This window comes from Homo sapiens, chromosome 5 (assembly GCF_000001405.40).
Source record: "Homo sapiens chromosome 5, GRCh38.p14 Primary Assembly".
NCBI classification, from domain to species: domain Eukaryota; kingdom Metazoa; phylum Chordata; class Mammalia; order Primates; family Hominidae; genus Homo; species Homo sapiens.
In genome coordinates, this window is record NC_000005.10 from 11,371,855 (window position 1) to 11,390,345 (window position 18,491).

The 18,491-nt window shown below is 43.0% G+C and overlaps 1 protein-coding gene across 11 annotated transcripts in view, besides 1 other annotated feature; it reads right to left on the minus strand.

Annotated features, from left to right (window-relative positions):
* CTNND2 (catenin delta 2) overlaps window positions 1–18,491 on the minus strand; it is a 932,611-nt gene that overhangs the window by 400,019 nt on the left and 514,101 nt on the right. For 5 of the 11 annotated variants that reach the window (NM_001332.4, XM_005248251.4, XM_011513967.3 and 2 more), the window contains one exon: window positions 12,811–13,375. The exons of the other annotated variants lie outside the window; for them this stretch is intronic. In NM_001332.4, coding sequence (NP_001323.1) covers window positions 12,811–13,375 — 565 coding nt within the window. The remainder of the gene's footprint in view (window positions 1–12,810; window positions 13,376–18,491) is intronic. 11 annotated transcript variants of the gene reach the window in all.
* Window positions 13,828–14,784: an enhancer, noted in NCBI's record as "OCT4-NANOG hESC enhancer chr5:11385794-11386750 (GRCh37/hg19 assembly coordinates)". NCBI's record gives its function as "activates a minimal SCP1, AML or CMV promoter by ChIP-STARR-seq in naive H9 embryonic stem cells {active_cell/tissue: H9 hESC(naive)}" and the evidence as "EXISTENCE:reporter gene assay evidence [ECO:0000049][PMID:30033119]".

Sequence of the window (18,491 nt, forward strand, 5' to 3'; positions counted from 1 at the left end):
AAGATAAAATTGCACTGAAACCAAATAATTCCAGTGTAACAGGCCATCTGATAATATAAAATGATCTTATTATAAATCTATTTTTGGAAAGAAAAAAATGCCCTCCTATTTCATCATATTTCATAAATGTTAGATTTTCTTATACTAACTTAGTACAGCTTTGCTGCTTTCACTAATAACTTGAATACTATGCAGTCTCTGGCAGCGTACAAAACACAGAATTTGTTCCCATAACTTTGCTGATGAGGTTTTCCGATACAATTTATTGTCATGATGAAACCTCATCACACCTTTTACAAAATGAATACTGTAAACTATTGGGACTCAAATACTTTCCAGCAAAAATAATTTAAAAGTCAAAATCACTGCCCAGGACATCATGGTAAGTGTGTCCATGTGATCTCATCCCTAGAAAAGTATATGCCCCTTGTTCCTGTACTTTCTTTTTAACCACAAGCATCTATTCCCAAACTGTTAGGAAAACAGGCTTCCTTTGTTCAGTTCTTTTTGTAACAGGCAGGCATCTGGAAAATAATGATAGTGGTAACGGAGTATAATGAGTAATGTGGGGTCCTGTGTCAAGCTTTGCATTTTTACTTGCAGTGGAAGGTTGTTCTTCCTCTCTAGTGAAATGGATGGAGTGTAATACCCCACCCCTCATGCACGGCTTCAACTTAACAAAGAACCGGTAGGAACCTATGGCTAAGGTGGTACTGGTAATAGTAAAACATATGAAGTACACAGGGATGGTTTGACACCTGCAACCAATATCTGTTCTGGGTTTCCTATCTCACAGGAAGTAGAAAGTAGCACCAAATTTACTAGCCACGTATTTTGGTGTTTTTCAAAATGCCACAGGCATATGAATGCCTTAATTGGAATGCAGGTTCTGGCTCAGTGGGTTTGAGGAAGGGCCTGAGGTTCTTCATTTTTAGCAAGTTCTCAGGCAATGCTGGCGCTGCTGGTCCACGGACCACCCTTTGAGAAGCCAGGACATATTTGTCTAGCTATGAATACATATCTGGTCTCTAGGAGCCCCGGAGACAGACCATCAATGCCGTGGTCTCTCCTGCCTCAGTGCTAGGATTACAGGTGTGATCCACTGTGCCCAGCACTCCTGCTTTGTTAGGCAAACACAAGTGGCCTCAATAAAGGCACAGTTCAAGAGTATAGCTAGACACTGGCAATGCAGGTGCTCATCAGCTTGGGCTCTGCAAGCACAAGCTGTGCTGGCCATGACAACTGTGACCATTCTATCAGCTGCTGCAGAGTGACTGATCTTAGCTACAGTTGTCCGGGCCCCACACCAGGGGGACTTCAAAGGCCTTAATGAGCAGGATAGCTGGGGCAAGAGTCACTTCTAGTGGGGAAAGAGCATCTTTCTATCTCTAGGGTGGACTTTTTTTAAGACAGGGTCTCACTATGTTGCTCAAGCTGGTCTCAAACTCCTGAGCTCAAGTGATCCTCACACTTCAGTCTCTCCAGTAGCTGGGACTACAGGGGACCCACCACCATGTCTGGGTCAGGGTGGATATTTTAGACATGGGTGGGCTGGAACATTTTTGCTATGATTATGGTGTTTCTTGGGTGATTCTGGAGAGGCAAGTATCTAGGTTCCCTGCATTGCCACAATACCCACATAGGTAAGGATAGCTCAGGGCTTCTCAACCCTGAAAGAACATGCACAGCATTTGAATGGGAGACTTTTTAAAAGAGGAATGATGCTGTGGCTGCATTCCAGACCAGGACCTCAGGGGAGGGGCCCAGGGAATGGAATAGTTCAAAGATTCTCCAGGCTTCTCCAAGAAGCATCCAATCTCTGGATGGCCAGGGGTCAAACTAATAGATTTGGGGCTAGATGTAGGATCTTGAGGAGCATGTGTCAAGGTTTGGTCCTCAGCAGACTCTTTAAGGCTGAAGCTTCAGAATATCCCCAGAAATATCCATTCCTGAAAGTGAGGGAAGGAAAGAACCTCTTCTTAGATGAGGTTTTAGTGTCAGAAATTTGCGGGTACCTTTGAAAGTAGAGGCTGCTTTTTGCCCCTGGCATGCTACACCTAGGGGCATGTCCCTAGCATGCCTCCTGCTGGGAAGTCCCTGGGAGGTCACAGGTTGTGGCCAGGCAGAGATGGCAGGACATTTCCTGCCTCTGCCTTTTCCCTTTCCTTCTGCAGGTCTCTGGGCTGGATCAAGCCTTATGTCTGAGGAGGGTGGGGTCAGTGCTGTGATGATCACGTGTGTCTTGTGAACTCTTGCTATAAAGAACTACTGTAACCATACCCTTCAAGTGAGAGACAGTCCTGACTGAAGCTAGGGAAAAGACCCCTAGAAAGACTCTACCCAGGCACCCTAAACCCTTCTCAGCTGAGACCAGGTAGAATAAGAAATTATGGAGTGATTGAAATTTTGAATTTGTAATATCTTTGTACAGAAGAACAACATAACTTGACATCAGACTTGTAACAAAAGTCTTTTGACATGAGCATGTAAAGAAATTTAATCTATGAAGGTTAATTTTTACCTGGGAGAAGGCTTGTGTTTAAGATTTGCTTCAAACTACCTCTCCTCCCTGGGAGTAGCTTTTGGCAGCTACTAGGAGGAGTGGGCCCAGAGTCTTCACCACCACAATCTTCTGTTTGTCCTGATTAACTACAGATGCAGGGCGATCTATGACTCGGTATTTTATTCATTAGTGACTTACCAGAGTTTTTAATGGGCATATTCACACAGATACTCTTCCTTATCAAGGAGGGGGATAAAATTCAACAAGTGGCATTTTATTTCTCAACAGCTGTGTCTCAATACCCCATCAGTGCAATATTCCAACAGTGCATCTGGAGTCTGGCTTCCAGACCTCATTATTATGGATCACTACGAATATTTCCATGGAAATAATCCAGAACAAGGTGCTCCCAATCTACTTTTTTTTTTTTTTTTTTTTTTTTTTTTTGTTACATCAAGATGCAAAGCAGACCTGTGGGCTGAAGCTTCAGAGAGCCCAGAAGTCTCCATTCTGCTTTCCAGAGTGCTGACTGCTGTGGGAACTAAGCTAAGTATTCATTTTTGATTATGTGGCTTCTGCCCATCAAAGGGGTACAGATGAACTTTTCAAGGTATGAACAGGAATAAGGCTTAACAAGCAAGAATAGGATTAAACATGCAGTTGTCTTTGTAAATGGGTTCAAATATTTTGAAAAACATGTAAACGAAGATGTTTTACATCTCAACATCCTAAACAGAGGCCTTTTTCCTCAGATTGCATAAGATAGGTAATAGGTAGGCTGCAGAAATTCCCTTTAAACCATTAGACATTTAGCTTCTAAAATACAAACTGAAAATGTATTCTCCCTATATCATTTTCTTCTACTTCTTTGTATCTTTCACCAACACTCAGAGTGACCTCTGTCATAACTCCAGAAGAAAAAGACACCCTAACTCTCAACATAATTTAGAGGGAGGAAACGACAAGTAAACAGCTTCACAGATTAGTAATTCTCTGTACTTATATTTTACAACTTCTCTATATCAACATTTTATTAATTTTTATTATTTTATTCAACATAATATTCAGCATATATAAAACGAGTTGGAGAAGAGAGGAATTCTGTTATGTAATAAACAGTTCTAAGGAGAACTAAAATTTTCCTTTGATTCTTTTCCTCTCAAAAGCTTTAATATGTGTGTATGTGCATGTATATGTTAAAGTTCAATTAGTTATTGGGTTATGTATGTATAATGATCATTTGAATCGCAGTTGTATTCATTAAAACATTAATTTTCTAGTTGAATACAAAATTGATGAAACCAATCTATAGCCAAAATTCTCTCACCTCCTTTTTCAAATGTTGTCATTATCCAGATAATACTGTTAAACAACCAACTGGTTTTGTACCCTAGTGATGTTAGTGATGCTTTCTAGTACAGAAAGTCAATTTGTTTTGACTACATACAATAAATACTACATATCTGAAAAAAGCTACCAAGTTGGGGGAAAGGGGACTGTTTTTCGTCATGTGAATAACAACAAGCGAACTGACTACTAGGGTCTAAATGTTTGTGCTCTCCTCGCCCCCCGATTATGTTGAAAGCTAACACCCAGTGTGATGGTGTTAGGAGGTGGGGCCTCTGGGAGGTGATGAGGTCATGAGGGTGGACATGTCATGAGTGGGATTAGTGCCCTTACACCCGAGAGAGCAAGGTGAGGACACAGCAAGAAGGGGCCATCGATGAGCCGAAAAGTGGACCCTCATGGGACAATGAATCTGCCATCACCTTTATTTTGGACTTTCCAGCCTCCAGAACTAGGAGAAATAAATCTCTGTTGTTTGTAAGTTACACAATTTATGATATTTTTTATAGCAACCTAAACAGACTAAGACACTGACTCAGCCATGGAAAAAGCTGTGGCATTATCTGCTTCTAACCACCTGAGCTTAAGACCTGAGTGATGAATGCCTTTGTGTGTGTGTGTGTGTGTGTGTGTGTGTGTGTGTATTTCTTATTCTAAAGAGAAATAAATACTGACTTCCCCTTTCTACATCAATTTTCTATTTTGGTCTCTCTTTTTCATGCCACTAACTCTTTCCAATTCCTCAGTAATCTTTGATAATTTATCATATTTGAGAAAGAAAAATCCAGTGACAGCTTCTTTCCACAGTGTCAAGGGCAGTATTTTCCACTGTGCATTCTCGAGTTAGAATTTCTGGAGGGGAAGGCAGGGCATTCAGACTGGCAGTCTTCCTTCAGAATGAGTGGGGGGTTGGGGGAGCAGTCCCAACTTCCTCATCACTCCATACGCTTGTACTATCTAATGTAAACCAGCATCTATAACAGAAGTCTAGAAGTTTCTTCAAGAGAACACCTCTCAGAGTAAGCACTGGCTACAGGGTCGCCATTTTGGTAGGAGAGATGTTTGTCAGGGGGTGTCAACCTAGAACTGTCTTGAACACTGACTTTCAATGAATCCCTCTATCTTCAGCCCATCTCTCCCCAGCCCCACCCCCTCAAGCTCAGCTCTGACCCTTGGGCCTGTCCAGGAATTCACACAAGACAGCCAGTCCACCTCCAAAGTCCAGACAGAGCTCATTCTCAAAAGATAGCACTCCTATATTTTAATTGCTTATCACTCTACTTTCTAGAAATTCTTAACTTGGCTTGCTTGTCGGTGACACTCAGACCCTGGTCTCTGTGTTTTTGTCTCCTTTTTTTTTTTTTGAGAAGGAGGCTCATTCTGTTGCCCAGGCTGGAGTGCAATGGCACGATCTTGGCTCACTGCAACCTCTGCCTCCTGGGTTCAAGCAATGCTCCTGCCTCAGCCTCCTGAGTAGCTGGGATTACAGGCACGCGCCGCCACACCTGGCTAATTTTTTTTTTGTATTTTTTAGTAGAGACAGGGTTTCACCATGTTGGTCAGGCTGGTCTCGAACTCCTGACCTCATGATCTGCCTACCTCAGCTTCCCAAAGTGCTGGGATTACAGGTGTGAGCCACTGGGCCCAGCCTCTGTGTTTTGTCTCTTTTGTGACTTCATTCCCTATTGTATTCCTGTACTTTTATTTTTTGAGGTGTCCGGGAAATAGGGGAAACAAATGAGTGGGCAGAGGATGCCATCTTGAACAATTATCTTAGGTAGTTTTCATTTTTTTAGGGCACATTTTCTCAGCTAAAGCACAACTGAAGTCATATCAATATCAATAATATTAGAAGAGCTTTCACAGAATTCTATATAAAGATGCCACTTTCCTACCAAAGAACAAAAAAAGGATCTGTTTACCCGCATTTGATTTACAAGGATGCTATGAGGTAGGAAAAGAATGGTAGATATTAACTTCTGTGAAGGAAACAAAAATGAAAGACACCAGGAAGACATTTTGGGCCACCTCGCAATCCCAACTCTTAGTTCCAGGCTTAGGCACTAACTTGCCATACGGGAGTGTTAAAATTGCACTGTTCCCACTTCAGTTTGACCTGGACATCAGTTGGATAGAAATTGGATAGGAAGGTAAGTAGAATAGAGGTGCTATATCAAATGAATTTACAAAAGAAATGTTTGATTACCATTTCTGTTGAGTTCTGGACCCGTAGGCAGATGAATGCTATTAGACTGGGCTTAGCATGTATAAAGGATGGAAGGTTTGCTGAACCTTCAGCAAAGGCAGACCTCATGTCTGCCTTCCTGGGAGGTGGGGAATTCCAGAGAGATGAGCTTGCACGAAGCCACTGAGATATGGATTCCCTACTATAACATGGGGTCCTGGAATTCCAGAGGGTAAGTGGCTGGCTGAATAACTGCTTTGTTGGTGGAAGCAGGAAATGGCTGGTGTGTGGAAATCAGCCTGTACTCCCCAAGTGTGTTGAGGTGTAGGATGACACAATGCACTATGCAGAAGAGAGACCCATATTACATTGATTCTAAAGACACCTGGGGCAGGCAATGGGTTCCTAATGCTTATGAGGAAGGGGCTGGAGCCCAGAGGCATGGCCAGCAGGGAAGGCAATGAGTCGCTGTCGTTGGGAGAGTGCCCAGTTAGGTCTAGTTCGAAAGAACCCCTGGAAGCTCCAGTTGAGAGCAAGTCAGCCTTAACCACCTTTACAAGGTTAAAGTTGATTGATATCACAGGTTGATCATATTTTAATTAGTAAATGTACACTGGAATTTTTTAACTTTAAGTGACAGTGGGAAAATCTAAATATCTAGCACTAGAGTGAGCAGAATGTTCGTGAGAACTGCGCAATGCTTGTCCACAGCACGGGAAGATTAGCTTTCCAAAATGAATTGAAAGGAGCAGCAGGAGCCAGATATCATGTTGCATTTTGACCCCATCCCAGGAGCTGTGGCCTAAACAAACTCGTTCATTACCCCAGTAGACTTCACATTTCCTTTGAAAACCTCACTGCAGAGATTGCGAAGCTTTCATCTAGGACTAGACTCTTTTTTTTTCTTTCTCATATAAAGTGTACCTGGAAGCCTTAATCAGTCAGGGAATGGGTCTGAAATCTCTAAACAGTAAAGATTCAGCATTTATGTGCACGATCCACTCTAAATACTGAATTTTATGTCCATTTGACTGGGGGACAAGTTAGACAGGCCTTGACCAAATTCCTCTCCATATTAGGTCAATTTTGATTTAAATCATTGGTTAAGAGTCTCCACTTCATTCATTTCAATTTTACCTCAAAATAAGCTTCTGATGTTTGACTCAACTTCAATGCATGTCTACAACTCGTATTTCTTTTCAAAACAGGATTAATTTAGCTACAAATCCCGAAAGTGAAAGGATTATGTTATTCTCTTTGTAAAAGTGAACAAAAATTGGTACTGGTGAAGTTACAATCACACATTCAATAGGATGTCGACAGCTTTTTTAGATACTATTATTACTTTCTTTAAAATAATGAGTCACTTAAATAAGCTGAAAATTTATATTGCATTTCTACATCCTTCGTGTTTTTCTCCACTGACACAAAAATATACTACCTCTAACTATGCATCACGTACATTTAAGACTACAGAGATTCTGGGGTCAAAGCGACGTAGGTTCAAATCACATCCCTGTCATTTCTAGATGAGTAGCTTTGGGCAAGGAGGTTATCATCCATAAGCTTCAGTTTTTAAATCTGTAGAATGGGGGTAAAAATCATGTCTGCCTCATCAAGTTGCTGGAGACTACATGAGATGTATTAAAATAATACATTTAACTCTTAATTTATTAAAAAAAAACTAAACAAACTTTGGGTCAGGAAAAAATATAAAAAGTAGGTTCTGTCGCTGACTAGCCTTTTTCTCAACCATTTATAAGTGATAATTTTTGTATTGTCCCATTTCAAAGCAAACGGGAAAGAGTTTTAAGAAGCAGTGAAGGACTACTTCACTGGCTTCCAAAGTGATTCTCTGCCCATTTTTTCTTTGTAATTCCAGCCTCCACACACTGCCCAGAACAAAGTTTCTAACAAGCACATATGACCATGTCAGTTGTCTGCTGGATGGATAAAACGCTAAGTCCATTACAGTGGGATGCAGCAGCCTTATCTCCCTCTGCGCCTTCATGTCTCACCACCCCTACCACTCTGTCTTTGCTCAAGAAACACTGAGCTGCCAGTTGTCTTCCCCTGCCTCCCTGCACCCCACACACACCCTCTCAACTCTGACTTTGTTCTGGCTACCGCTTCTTTCTAGTTGCTCCTTTATAGCTTTGTTCTGGGACCACTTCATCAAGGAAGCATGCCAGGTGCACACTGAACCCCACTGTAAGATGCTCCGCTAGGATGCTCCCATAGTAACTAGCTTCTGTCTGACTCTGCGCGGGGTTTAAAACTGCCCATTCCTGTGGCTGTTCCGAAACTAAGTCTCTTGAAACCAGGGGTTATGCCTCATTCATCTGCATATGCCCAACACAGACACTGACATGTTCTGGGATTCAATAAACCTGCTGTGTCTGAAGCAAAGATGGATGTCTTCTTCCTTGCACACCCAAGGTAGTGTGGTAGGTATTACTAAATAATATGAGTTAACTTCTATTGAGCCAGAAAATGTGCTAGTACTTTACATATGCTACCTTATTTATGTGCAAAAGTATATGAATAGATACAATGGTGACCCCTTTTATCAGGGAATAATTTTAAGCCGGTGAGCAATGAGCCTACCAGCCTTAAGGAGCTCCCCCAAGGCAGAGTTGGCTTTCCACTCAGGTAGCTCTATATGATAAAAAGCAGATATGATTTTTTTAAATAAAAGAAACGAAATTTTTAAACCTATCCAGGGATCTTTGGGTTCTGATGACTTAACATCTGAGAAGTTACACTCTGTAGGTTGAATCTGAATTGTAGTGTTTTCCCAGAGAGTCAGAACTCTGACGTTTGTGGTCAGATTTTCTAAGGTTTGTCTATCAGGAAGATCCAATGCAAACTGTGAATGTGTGTTGCCTTACCAAGTGCCCACTATAGTCGATGACCCGAAACCCTCAGATAGAACTTCTAATTTCTGGAAATGTTTATAGCGAAACAAGAAAAACTTGAAAAACTCTAACCTGCATATATCCCACTTTCTAATGGCTACATGCACTTTGATTCTGACAGATATCACCTATGCAAAACCAAGATCTTAGCATTTACCAGAACTACTCCCAGACCACCCGGTCCCTCTGCAGCCCACTCCCTCTCAATTGATGGTGACTCTATTCTTCTGGTTGTTGGGTGGGTGGCATCCTTGAGTTCTTTTTCTCTTACCTTCATCACCTAGTGCATGAGAAAATCTCAGTGGCTACACCTTATATATACATCAAGAACTATAATACCCACTTCCATAACGTCCAATGCTTCCATCTTAACCCAAACCATAATCACCTCTTGCTTAAATTACTGCAATCAGCTCCCAACTGACATTCTTGCTTTTGCCTTTAATCCTGATAGTCTATTCTCCAAATGGCAGCCGAAGTAACCCTGTTACAAACTAGATCAGAATGCAGTACTCCTCTGCTCAAATCCCCAATGGTGCCCATGGGTTTAGCAAAGGCAGCATCAAGTTCTCCACAAGACTTACAAGGCCTCTCAGACTTGGCCTTCCACTCCCACCTTGCTGACCTCAAGTCATGTGTTTGCTCTTGTTCTCTCTGATTAACCCCCGTGGTCTCCTTGCTACTCAGCAAACATATCAGACACACCCCCATTTATAAGCCCTTGAACTTGCTGTTCCTCCTGCTTAGAAAACCTTCTGCCCAGATAGTCACAGGGCCAGCTCACTCACCTATGTCAGGACAGATTCAAAGTTACCTTCTGTATAAGTACTGTGTACTAACTAATGGCATCACTGGAATCTAAAAAACAAAATATTGGGGACCAGGTGTGGTGGCTCACGCCTGTAATCCCAGCACTTTGGGAGGCCGAGGCGGGCAGATCACGAGGTCAGGAGATCAAGACCATCCTGGCTAACACGGTGAAACCCCGTCTCTACTAAAAATACAAAAAATTAGCCAGGCGTGGTGGCGGGCACCTGTAGCCCCAGCTGCTCAGGAGGCTAAGGCAGGAGAATGGCGTAAACCTGGGAGGCGGAGCTGATAGTGAGCCAAGATCACGCCACGGCACTCTAGCCTGGGTGACAGAGAGAGACTCTGTCTCAAAAAAACAAAAAAACAAAACAAAACAAAACAAAACAAAACAAAACTATTGGGTACTATGCTCAGTACCTGGGTGACAGGATCAACTGTACCCCAAACCTCAGCATCATGCAATATACCCAGCTAACAAACCCAGAGAGGTACCCCCTGAATCTAAAATAAAAGTTGGAAATTATATATTAAAAAGTCTCTTCCTAATTAGAGCCTTCCCTGGCCATCTATCATAAGTATTTTGATAATTTTCTGTCTTCCTCATTTGAAACAAGGCCAAGGATTTTGGCTGATTTCTTATCCCTAGGATCTAAATCAATGGCAGTACATAAAAGGTGCTTAAAAGTAATTATTGAAGGTGGCTAGGTGCGGTGGCTAAGGCCTGTAAACCTAGCATTTTGGGAGGCCAAAGCGAGCAGATCACTTGAGGTCAGGAGGTTGAGACTGGCCTGGCCCACATGGTGAAACCCAGTCTCTACAAAATATACAAAAATTAGCCAGGCGTGGGGGCAGGTGACTGTAATCCCAGCTATCGGGAGGCTGAGGCGGGAGAATCACTTGAATCCAGGAGATGGATGTTGCAGTGAGCCGAGATCGCACCACTGCACTCCAGCCTGGGCAACCGACAGAGTGAGACTCTGTGTGTGTGTGTGTGTGTGTGTGTGTGTGTGTGTGTGTGTGTGTGTGTGTAGAATGATGAATTAGTGAAAGTCACTACATATCCTGTATCCACCCTTCCTAGTCATCAGTGACAAATCTCTAAAATCACAACCCCGAAATTCCAAAAGCTGTTTTGCCATCTCTTGACCTAACTGCTCTTTCAACTAGCAAACCAAGTAGCTCCCAACTTCACAACGCCTCGAATGGTATCAAGCACACGAAATCAGGCATGGAGGTCTTGGAGTTGCAATATTCCTAATCTCTCAGAAGCATCGAGTTTGTCCCTTATACCTTCCCTGGGCCATAGTTTGCAACCTAAGCGCAATACAATCTATTTTTACAATGTACTTTTACTACCTCTTCTTAGATGCAATGATAGAAGGAGCTGTTGGCTCTATTCAGCTCCATTCACCCTCCCCTAACCTCTCCACAGGTATATTCAGCCATGTGGCCACACTCTCGATTGCTACTGAAATGATAGACTAGAACATGCAAAAGTCTACACAAATCACCCATGGGAGAAAGAACTGGAAGCTAAGACTCCTGATTTCTTTCATGAGGTAAGTGTAAGAAATGAAATGGCCTCTAGTAGGACGCCTGGACTCCCTGCGCCTCAGTCTCCTCTTCTCTGTGGTGGTGCGCATGGCTGAGAAGGGTGTCATGGAGTCTCGTAAGAACTCCACCCATCTCCCCCTTCTTGACATGATCTGGTAACTTATTTTACAAAAGCATTTACATGAAGTTTCAGTACATGTTCACTCGCCCCCTTTTCTAAGCAGATCGCTACTCCTGAGTCCCTACAGCATGAAGATTTAGGTACTCATACTGGGTTGGCACTAATAATTGTCTACCTCAAAAATTCTATTTGAGAGAGAGGCAGTGAGTGAGAGAATATTTTCATTTCAGTAAACGTAGCTAGCATAATTTTGTGGGCAGTGGCACCCTAGCCTGCATCCTGTTAGGCCAGGCCAGTCCACACTGGCAATTACTGTGCTGAATTAAAGAAGCCCTTGGCCACCTGCCTCATGCATGCAACAAGCTCCTTTTTTAAATCCTATTTATCTTCACAGTCATCTATTTGTGTCAAGAAAGGAAGCATATGAGCACAGCATCTGTTACTAGAGTGACACAATTACCAAATCCTTCTGTAAGGGAAAAAAAATTCACAATAAATCCGGGTTAGTTGTCAGGTGTTTCAGAAGACAAAACATTAGTCTTTCAATCATGGTGTCTTGTTTAAGCTGAGCATATGGTGCTAACAGCAGAGAGGCACCAGCGCAGCCTGGTCGCTGACGGGCATAACGACCACAGAAATGTCACCTCCTCTAAACTGGGAGAGGAAAGCAGGTTTCTCTCCCCAAGCCCAGCCCCTCCCTCCCTGTAATAAAGCAGGTACAAATTTAAGGGACTTCATCATTGCTAACTTTGTCGCAAATGTTAGGACCCAAGTACATCCAATGACAGGTATGGGAGAGTCCTTTAGTTTTCCCAATAACTAATTTAGCAAAGATGTAAATAAATTCAAGCCAAAACAAAAGGGTAATAATTCAAGGCAATTCATTATTAATTATTTCCCCACTACTATTGAAAACTATGTAAGCTGAACGTCTAATTTGAGAAAATCCCTTACTTTTTCCACAATGAAATGTAGACAACTAAAGGTGACCCTGTCAATACTGCAACTGTTACTTGTTTTGCTTTTTTTCTGGATACCATCAACAGGTCTATGGGATGCTTTCCTAAATGTGTCTTACTTTTATGAGTTAGTCTTTAGGCTGGGGAGAGGGCAGAGAGAGAAGAGAGGAGAGAAGAGAGTGATATAGGTGTTAGAGATTGAGACACCACATTACTCCGGAAAAGAAGTCACTGACAAACTGTAGGGAAGATACTGACTTGTTCCAGGAAAGCCCTGGCGTTCTCTGTCTCCTGCAACTACTACAACCTGGCAGACAGCGCGCCCGGCTTCGCTTCTGCTCAAGCCGGGCTGCTGCTTCCGCGTCCCCGCCACGCGCCCAGGTGAGTCGCGCCAGGTGGCAGCGAGCCTTTACCTGCCAGGCTGCCCGGCCTCTGGAGGGTGGCCGTGGCATACAGCTCCTGCGAGTGCTTGCTGTACTGCTCGGACGCGTGGACCAGGCGCTTGGTGGGCGACAGGGTGGCGTACGTGCCGATGGTGGAGCTCAGCTGGTGGATGGGCGAGGAGGAGATGGTGGACTGCACGGTGGGGGGCGAGGTCACGCGGATCGGGGACAGGCCGGCCGAGGACACGACGATGTTGATGGGCGAGCTGGTGCTGTAGGACTTGGCCAGGCGGCTGGGCGACTGCTTGGGCGAGGAGCCGCGCGGCGCGGCGTAGGTGGCGCCCTCGGGGGCCGAGCCGCCGCGCTGCAGCTTGGTGGGCGAACCGCCCTGGGGCGCGGCCAGCGGGGAGCCCCCGCGCGGCGGCGCGGGCAGCGTGGAGCTGGAGTAGTAGAGCGCGGCGGCGGCGGCGGCGGGCGGCGCGTCGGGCAGGTGGAAGGCGCTGCCCAGGCTGGGCGCGAACGGCTCCCGCGGCGGCGGCGGCGGCGGCGGCGCGGGCTCGGGCCCCGCCAGGTGGCCGGCGCGGCTGGTCGTGCCCTGTGCCCGGGAGAGGAGAGAACACGCGCACTTAGCGAGGGAGAAGCACACGGCCCACCCGGCCCAGCCCGGCCCCGAGAGCAGAGGCACACCGGGGATGCCGCGGGCGCCCGGCGGCTCTGCGATCCCAGCTGCGCTCGGGGCAGTACGCGAACCTGCGCCCCGAACTCTCCTGGGGCGGATTTCTTGTCCTGACACTGGCACAGGCCAGCTGACTACTGGAGGGAAGTCACGTTTGACAAATGAGACCTGTGTTTGCTTACATGTAGATGTTATTTCGGAAATAGCAGAAGCATCGCATTAGTCACATAAAGATTTTTAAAGCCCCACCCCGACAGGGCAATCATGATCTCCCTGGTCGCAATCACAATCTGTTTGTTTTAATGAGAAATTCGGGCAGTAAATCTTTTTCTGTCCCCCACTCCCCACCCTTGCCCCAGGTCATTTCATTAGATACACTTTCTACCTCTGAGATTGGCCGAGTTACATACTTATCTGGAGAACATCAAGAATAAACATACTTCTTACAGTTTATTCTGTTGCTATTGTCGCGTGGATTCTTCTTTTTGGACAATGAAAAGTTAAACGGAGGGAAAAATACTAAGTCAGAATGAATTCGCTTCGTCTTTTCAGCATTAAAAAAAAATCTAGAGGAATTAGAGCAATTGGAAATGAGAATGCTAAAAAAGCCTCCCTTTTCTAGATTTTAATACTGGGCTCCCAATCTTTCAGCATCTTTCTCTCTCTAGCTCCCTTTAAGAGCCCCCTGCAGCTGTGTCTTCAAACTGAAAGCCATTCGCCTCTCATTTATTTACAAGAACACAAAAGACAACAAGGGCTGGGGAGGAGCTGGAGAGACAGTTGGAGGGGAAAGCACTTTCCTTGAATCTTGTCCAGAGACAAATTTGCATTCGAATGAAAACACTACATTGTCAACCACTTCTGGGCAGGAGGTCTCAGATCTTCCAGGCTTTCCCCGGGGAGCAGAGAGGATTTTGAGAGCCTGCTGGTGTGAAAAGGGAGTAGGATTGTACACAGAGTTGGAGAGAAGCTGGGAAGGAGGGATTTGAAATGAGGGATGAGAGGTGGGTGGGGAGGAGGACTCCAGAGAGATCGAGGGAAGGGAGGAAGAGAAGATTGAACAGATGCTAGCCATTAAAAGTTTCAATTATGCCTCTCTACCCGTTCTGGAATGGCAATTGGCAAATAATAGACTGGGCACTTTCACTGCACATACACAGGCATTCCAAATTTTATCTGGGATGTCAAGTTCATATGCAGATCTGAAGGAGTTAATTGAGCAACATCAAAATTCTCTATTAGGAGCAGCCTGGCATAGGAGGTAAACAGTTTGGTGAGAGACTTTCTCTATGCAGAGTGTGTGTATGTGTATGCATATGTATTTATGTACGGTATATATATTTTAAATATTCTCACACACACATGCAATCCATAAAGCAATTATTTTAATGTTAAGAGTGAAAGTAAAATGTAAGCTCCATGAGTTTGTTCAATGTTGTGTCCCCAGCAACTAGAACAGGGCCTGATTCCTAGCAGAGACTCCAGGAATATTTGTGGAATGGTTCCTCAAGTTAGTCTCAAGGCTATGAGGGTCTTATATGTGGAGGATGGGTAACGAACACTACAGATGTGGGTGTGCTTACTCTGAGCCCCAGAGAAATAGTCTAGCTTCATCCAGAGTCATTGAGGGGGTGGCTTTGATGCAATTTTGCTTCTCTCCCAGTGGCAGCTCTGAGCATGAAACATGTATTAAATAGATTGGGCTTCTCAAATCTAGTTGTATATTATAATCTCCAAGGGTGCTTTTAAAAAAAATCTCAATACTCATGACTTACCATTGCTATTTAATTCAGCATCCCTGAAGGTGAGACCATATATCAGTTTTTTTTGGAAGCTCAGCAGGTGATTTCACTGTGCAACCAAGCATGAGTCCCACGTCCCGCTAGAGCAGTGGTTTTCAAAGGGAGGTCCCTGATGGTCTTTTCAGCATTAAAAAAAAAAAAATTCTAGAGGAATCAGAGCAATCAGAATCATACCCCCACCATAAACTGAACAAACTCTGGGGGAGGGGCTGAGGGATCTGGGTTTTAACCAGTACTCTGGGTGATTATGGTGCTGGTCAAAGTTTGCCAACACTGCTCCAGAAGACACTTGGATTTGGAGGGTGCGGAGTGGGCCCCAGAGTCTGCATTTCTAACAATCTCCCAGAGCAGGCAAATGCTGTTGCTCTGAGAACTACCACTAAGCTGCAGACATTTTTCTTCTGAAGCTCTACTGGGGTTCCCTATCAACTGGGGCCTGAGCAACACTCAGCCATGCAGAACACAGCTGGCAAGTGATGGAAAAGCATCCGACAAAAATTTCTGAAAACCCTTCCCACAGGAACAAAATGAGAAGAAAGAACCCTTTCTCTAAGGTTTCAGGAGCACTCTCTGCTCCCTGTTTACAACAAAACAAAAACTTTTTGTTATGTCTTGGCTATGTAACATTAATAAAACAACCTTAGAGTACACTAACGATGCCATTACCAAATAGCATAATTTTTAATAAATACTAACTAAAGCATACCAATGTAAATGAGAATATTAAGTCGGTATTCATTCTAATATTTAAATATTAGAACATATATCCTGTGAAAACCTTAATGCTTTTTACAAATACTTTATTTTTCTTGTAATCTGTCAAAACATCTAGTCTCAGGTGTACTAAGTGCTGAATACGACTGTCTCCTATGTTTTCTTAAATGCACCCCAAATCTGTAGAAGTCTTGACAACTGCCACATGAGCTGTAGACATTTTGACAAGCTACGGCAACCAATTTGAAAGTCTTTTAGATATTATAGGATCTTGGTAAAATTGTGCTAATAATTTTGGCATGAAAAAAGGAAAAGTATAAACAATAAAATTTTATATACTGTTTAACATAGTAAGTGGTATTGTCCACTGTGTACTAAAATGCACTTCCAAAAAAGCCTCCTGAATCCATTTGCATAAGAAGCCATTATCAACTAGAGCACCTTCTCAGGAGCACCAGCTACACTGGTGTGTTACCAGCAATGCTTTCTACAACGTAGAGAATGTTCTCAATCCGTACTGCTCAATATGGCACCGCTGAACACATGGGCTGATTGACAGCTTGAAATGTGGCTAATCAGCTGAGGAACTTCAGTACATACTTAACTTTAATTAAGTTAAACAGCCACATGTGACTAGTGGCCACCTTCTTGGACAGCACAGTTGTCTAAGCTCCTCTGCAGTTTACAATAAATAAACCAGGGGTGCTATACTCCATTTCAATGGCTTATAGAGTAATAAATGCCTAAGAACTATTCTTTGGTTAAACAGAGAAATTTGTTTTGTAGCATCATTTGAATAAAAACAAAATTTGGGGGAGCCTCTTTTCACCCTTGTGCTTATGTTTTCTTTCACTACCGAATTTGATTTAGTAACTCTTTGTCAGTTAAGGTTACCTGAGGCTGTCATTCAAGCCAGCTGCACAATCATAGGACAGTTTATTACTACCCATCGTTGCATTAGAGATAATCGAAACACATTCCAACACATACAGAATTGTATTCACTTTAGTGTCACAAGAGTTCAATTCTACCTTAAAAGTATGTTAGCACTATAAAGCTGCAAATCTGATTTTAAAGTTAGAATTCAAGTAAAGTTTCATTTTCCTTTTTTAAACTAAAGATTACTACATACTGCTTCCCTGCAGATATTTGGAAATGTGTGTGTACATGCAAAGACAGTTGAAATAATTTTTTATTGATGTGTGACTCTGAAAATAAAAATAATGATATAACAAATTTAGATATACTTGGAATAGATTGGGCCCCATCCTTGGTCACACCATCTAGGCTGTTGGCAGAGACAATTCTTGACTCTGTCTTCATTCTCAGCTCTTTGGATCAGTCTCAGCCTCGAGGGCAACTTTATTTGTCTTTCCCACTCCTTCAAAATGAGGAACCCATTTACGAGAAATGGACAAGGAAGCAGAATGTTCACAGATAAACAACCCCATCAAGGAGATGTTCTGATTCAACAGTTTCTGATAGGTAGAGTATGGTGCACATTAAGTGTAGTTCAGTTCTTGTTTCCCTTATGGGAAATTTTTCAAGAAAAATATGGAACATTAACTCATCAAAGCTATTACAAATTATTTTATCTGTATACATATGTTTCAGATGGGTCAGATTTAGGATATATTCAGTGTCACAATTTTTACATTACATGGTGTGTGTGTGTGTACTTAGTGGTATATTGAGGCCTCTTGTGTAATTGTAGATGCATTGATATCTATTTTATAGAACTGTTTAAGGGGAGGATGTATTTACAAAGTATAGTAGAAAAAATATTGAAATGGGAAGTTAGGGAATATGTACATTATTCCAACAGCCATTAATGAACAGTACTCAAGTTTGATGCATTAATTTACTCACTGACTCAATAAACCATTAAGAAGAGCCTACTACAGTCTGGGAATCCCTACTCTGAAAATCCAAAATCTGAAATCCAAAAATCCCAAACATTTTGAGCACTGACATGAATGTCACAGTAGAAAATTCTACACCTGACACCTTTGCTTTCTGATGGTATAATGTACATAAACTTTGTTTCATGTACAACATTATTTAAAATGTCATATAAACTTACCTTCAGGCTATGAGTTATGTATGAAATACAAATGAATTTTGTCTTTAGACTGGGGGGGAGTCCCATCCCAAGAAATCTCATTATGGATACGCAAGTATTCTAAAATCGCCCCCCGCCAAAATCTGAAATCCAAAACACTTCTGATCCCCTGCATTTCAAACAAGGGATGCTTGACCTGTCTACACCATGTACAAATGAGGAGTTTGTTTTTGAAGAGCTCTCAACAATTCCCTTATATGGAGTATTTTACTTTGATGTTATTTTGGAGATCTATCGATGGAGTATTTTTGTTTGTACAGAATACTATCTGGCCACAATTAAGACACTGTTCTTTGGGGGAGTAGGAGCCCCTAAGAATATGGCACTCTTAAACCAGAAAGTGGCACTCGTTTTAGTGCCAAGCACATTTGCTTCCAGATTCTTTCACGCTGAATCT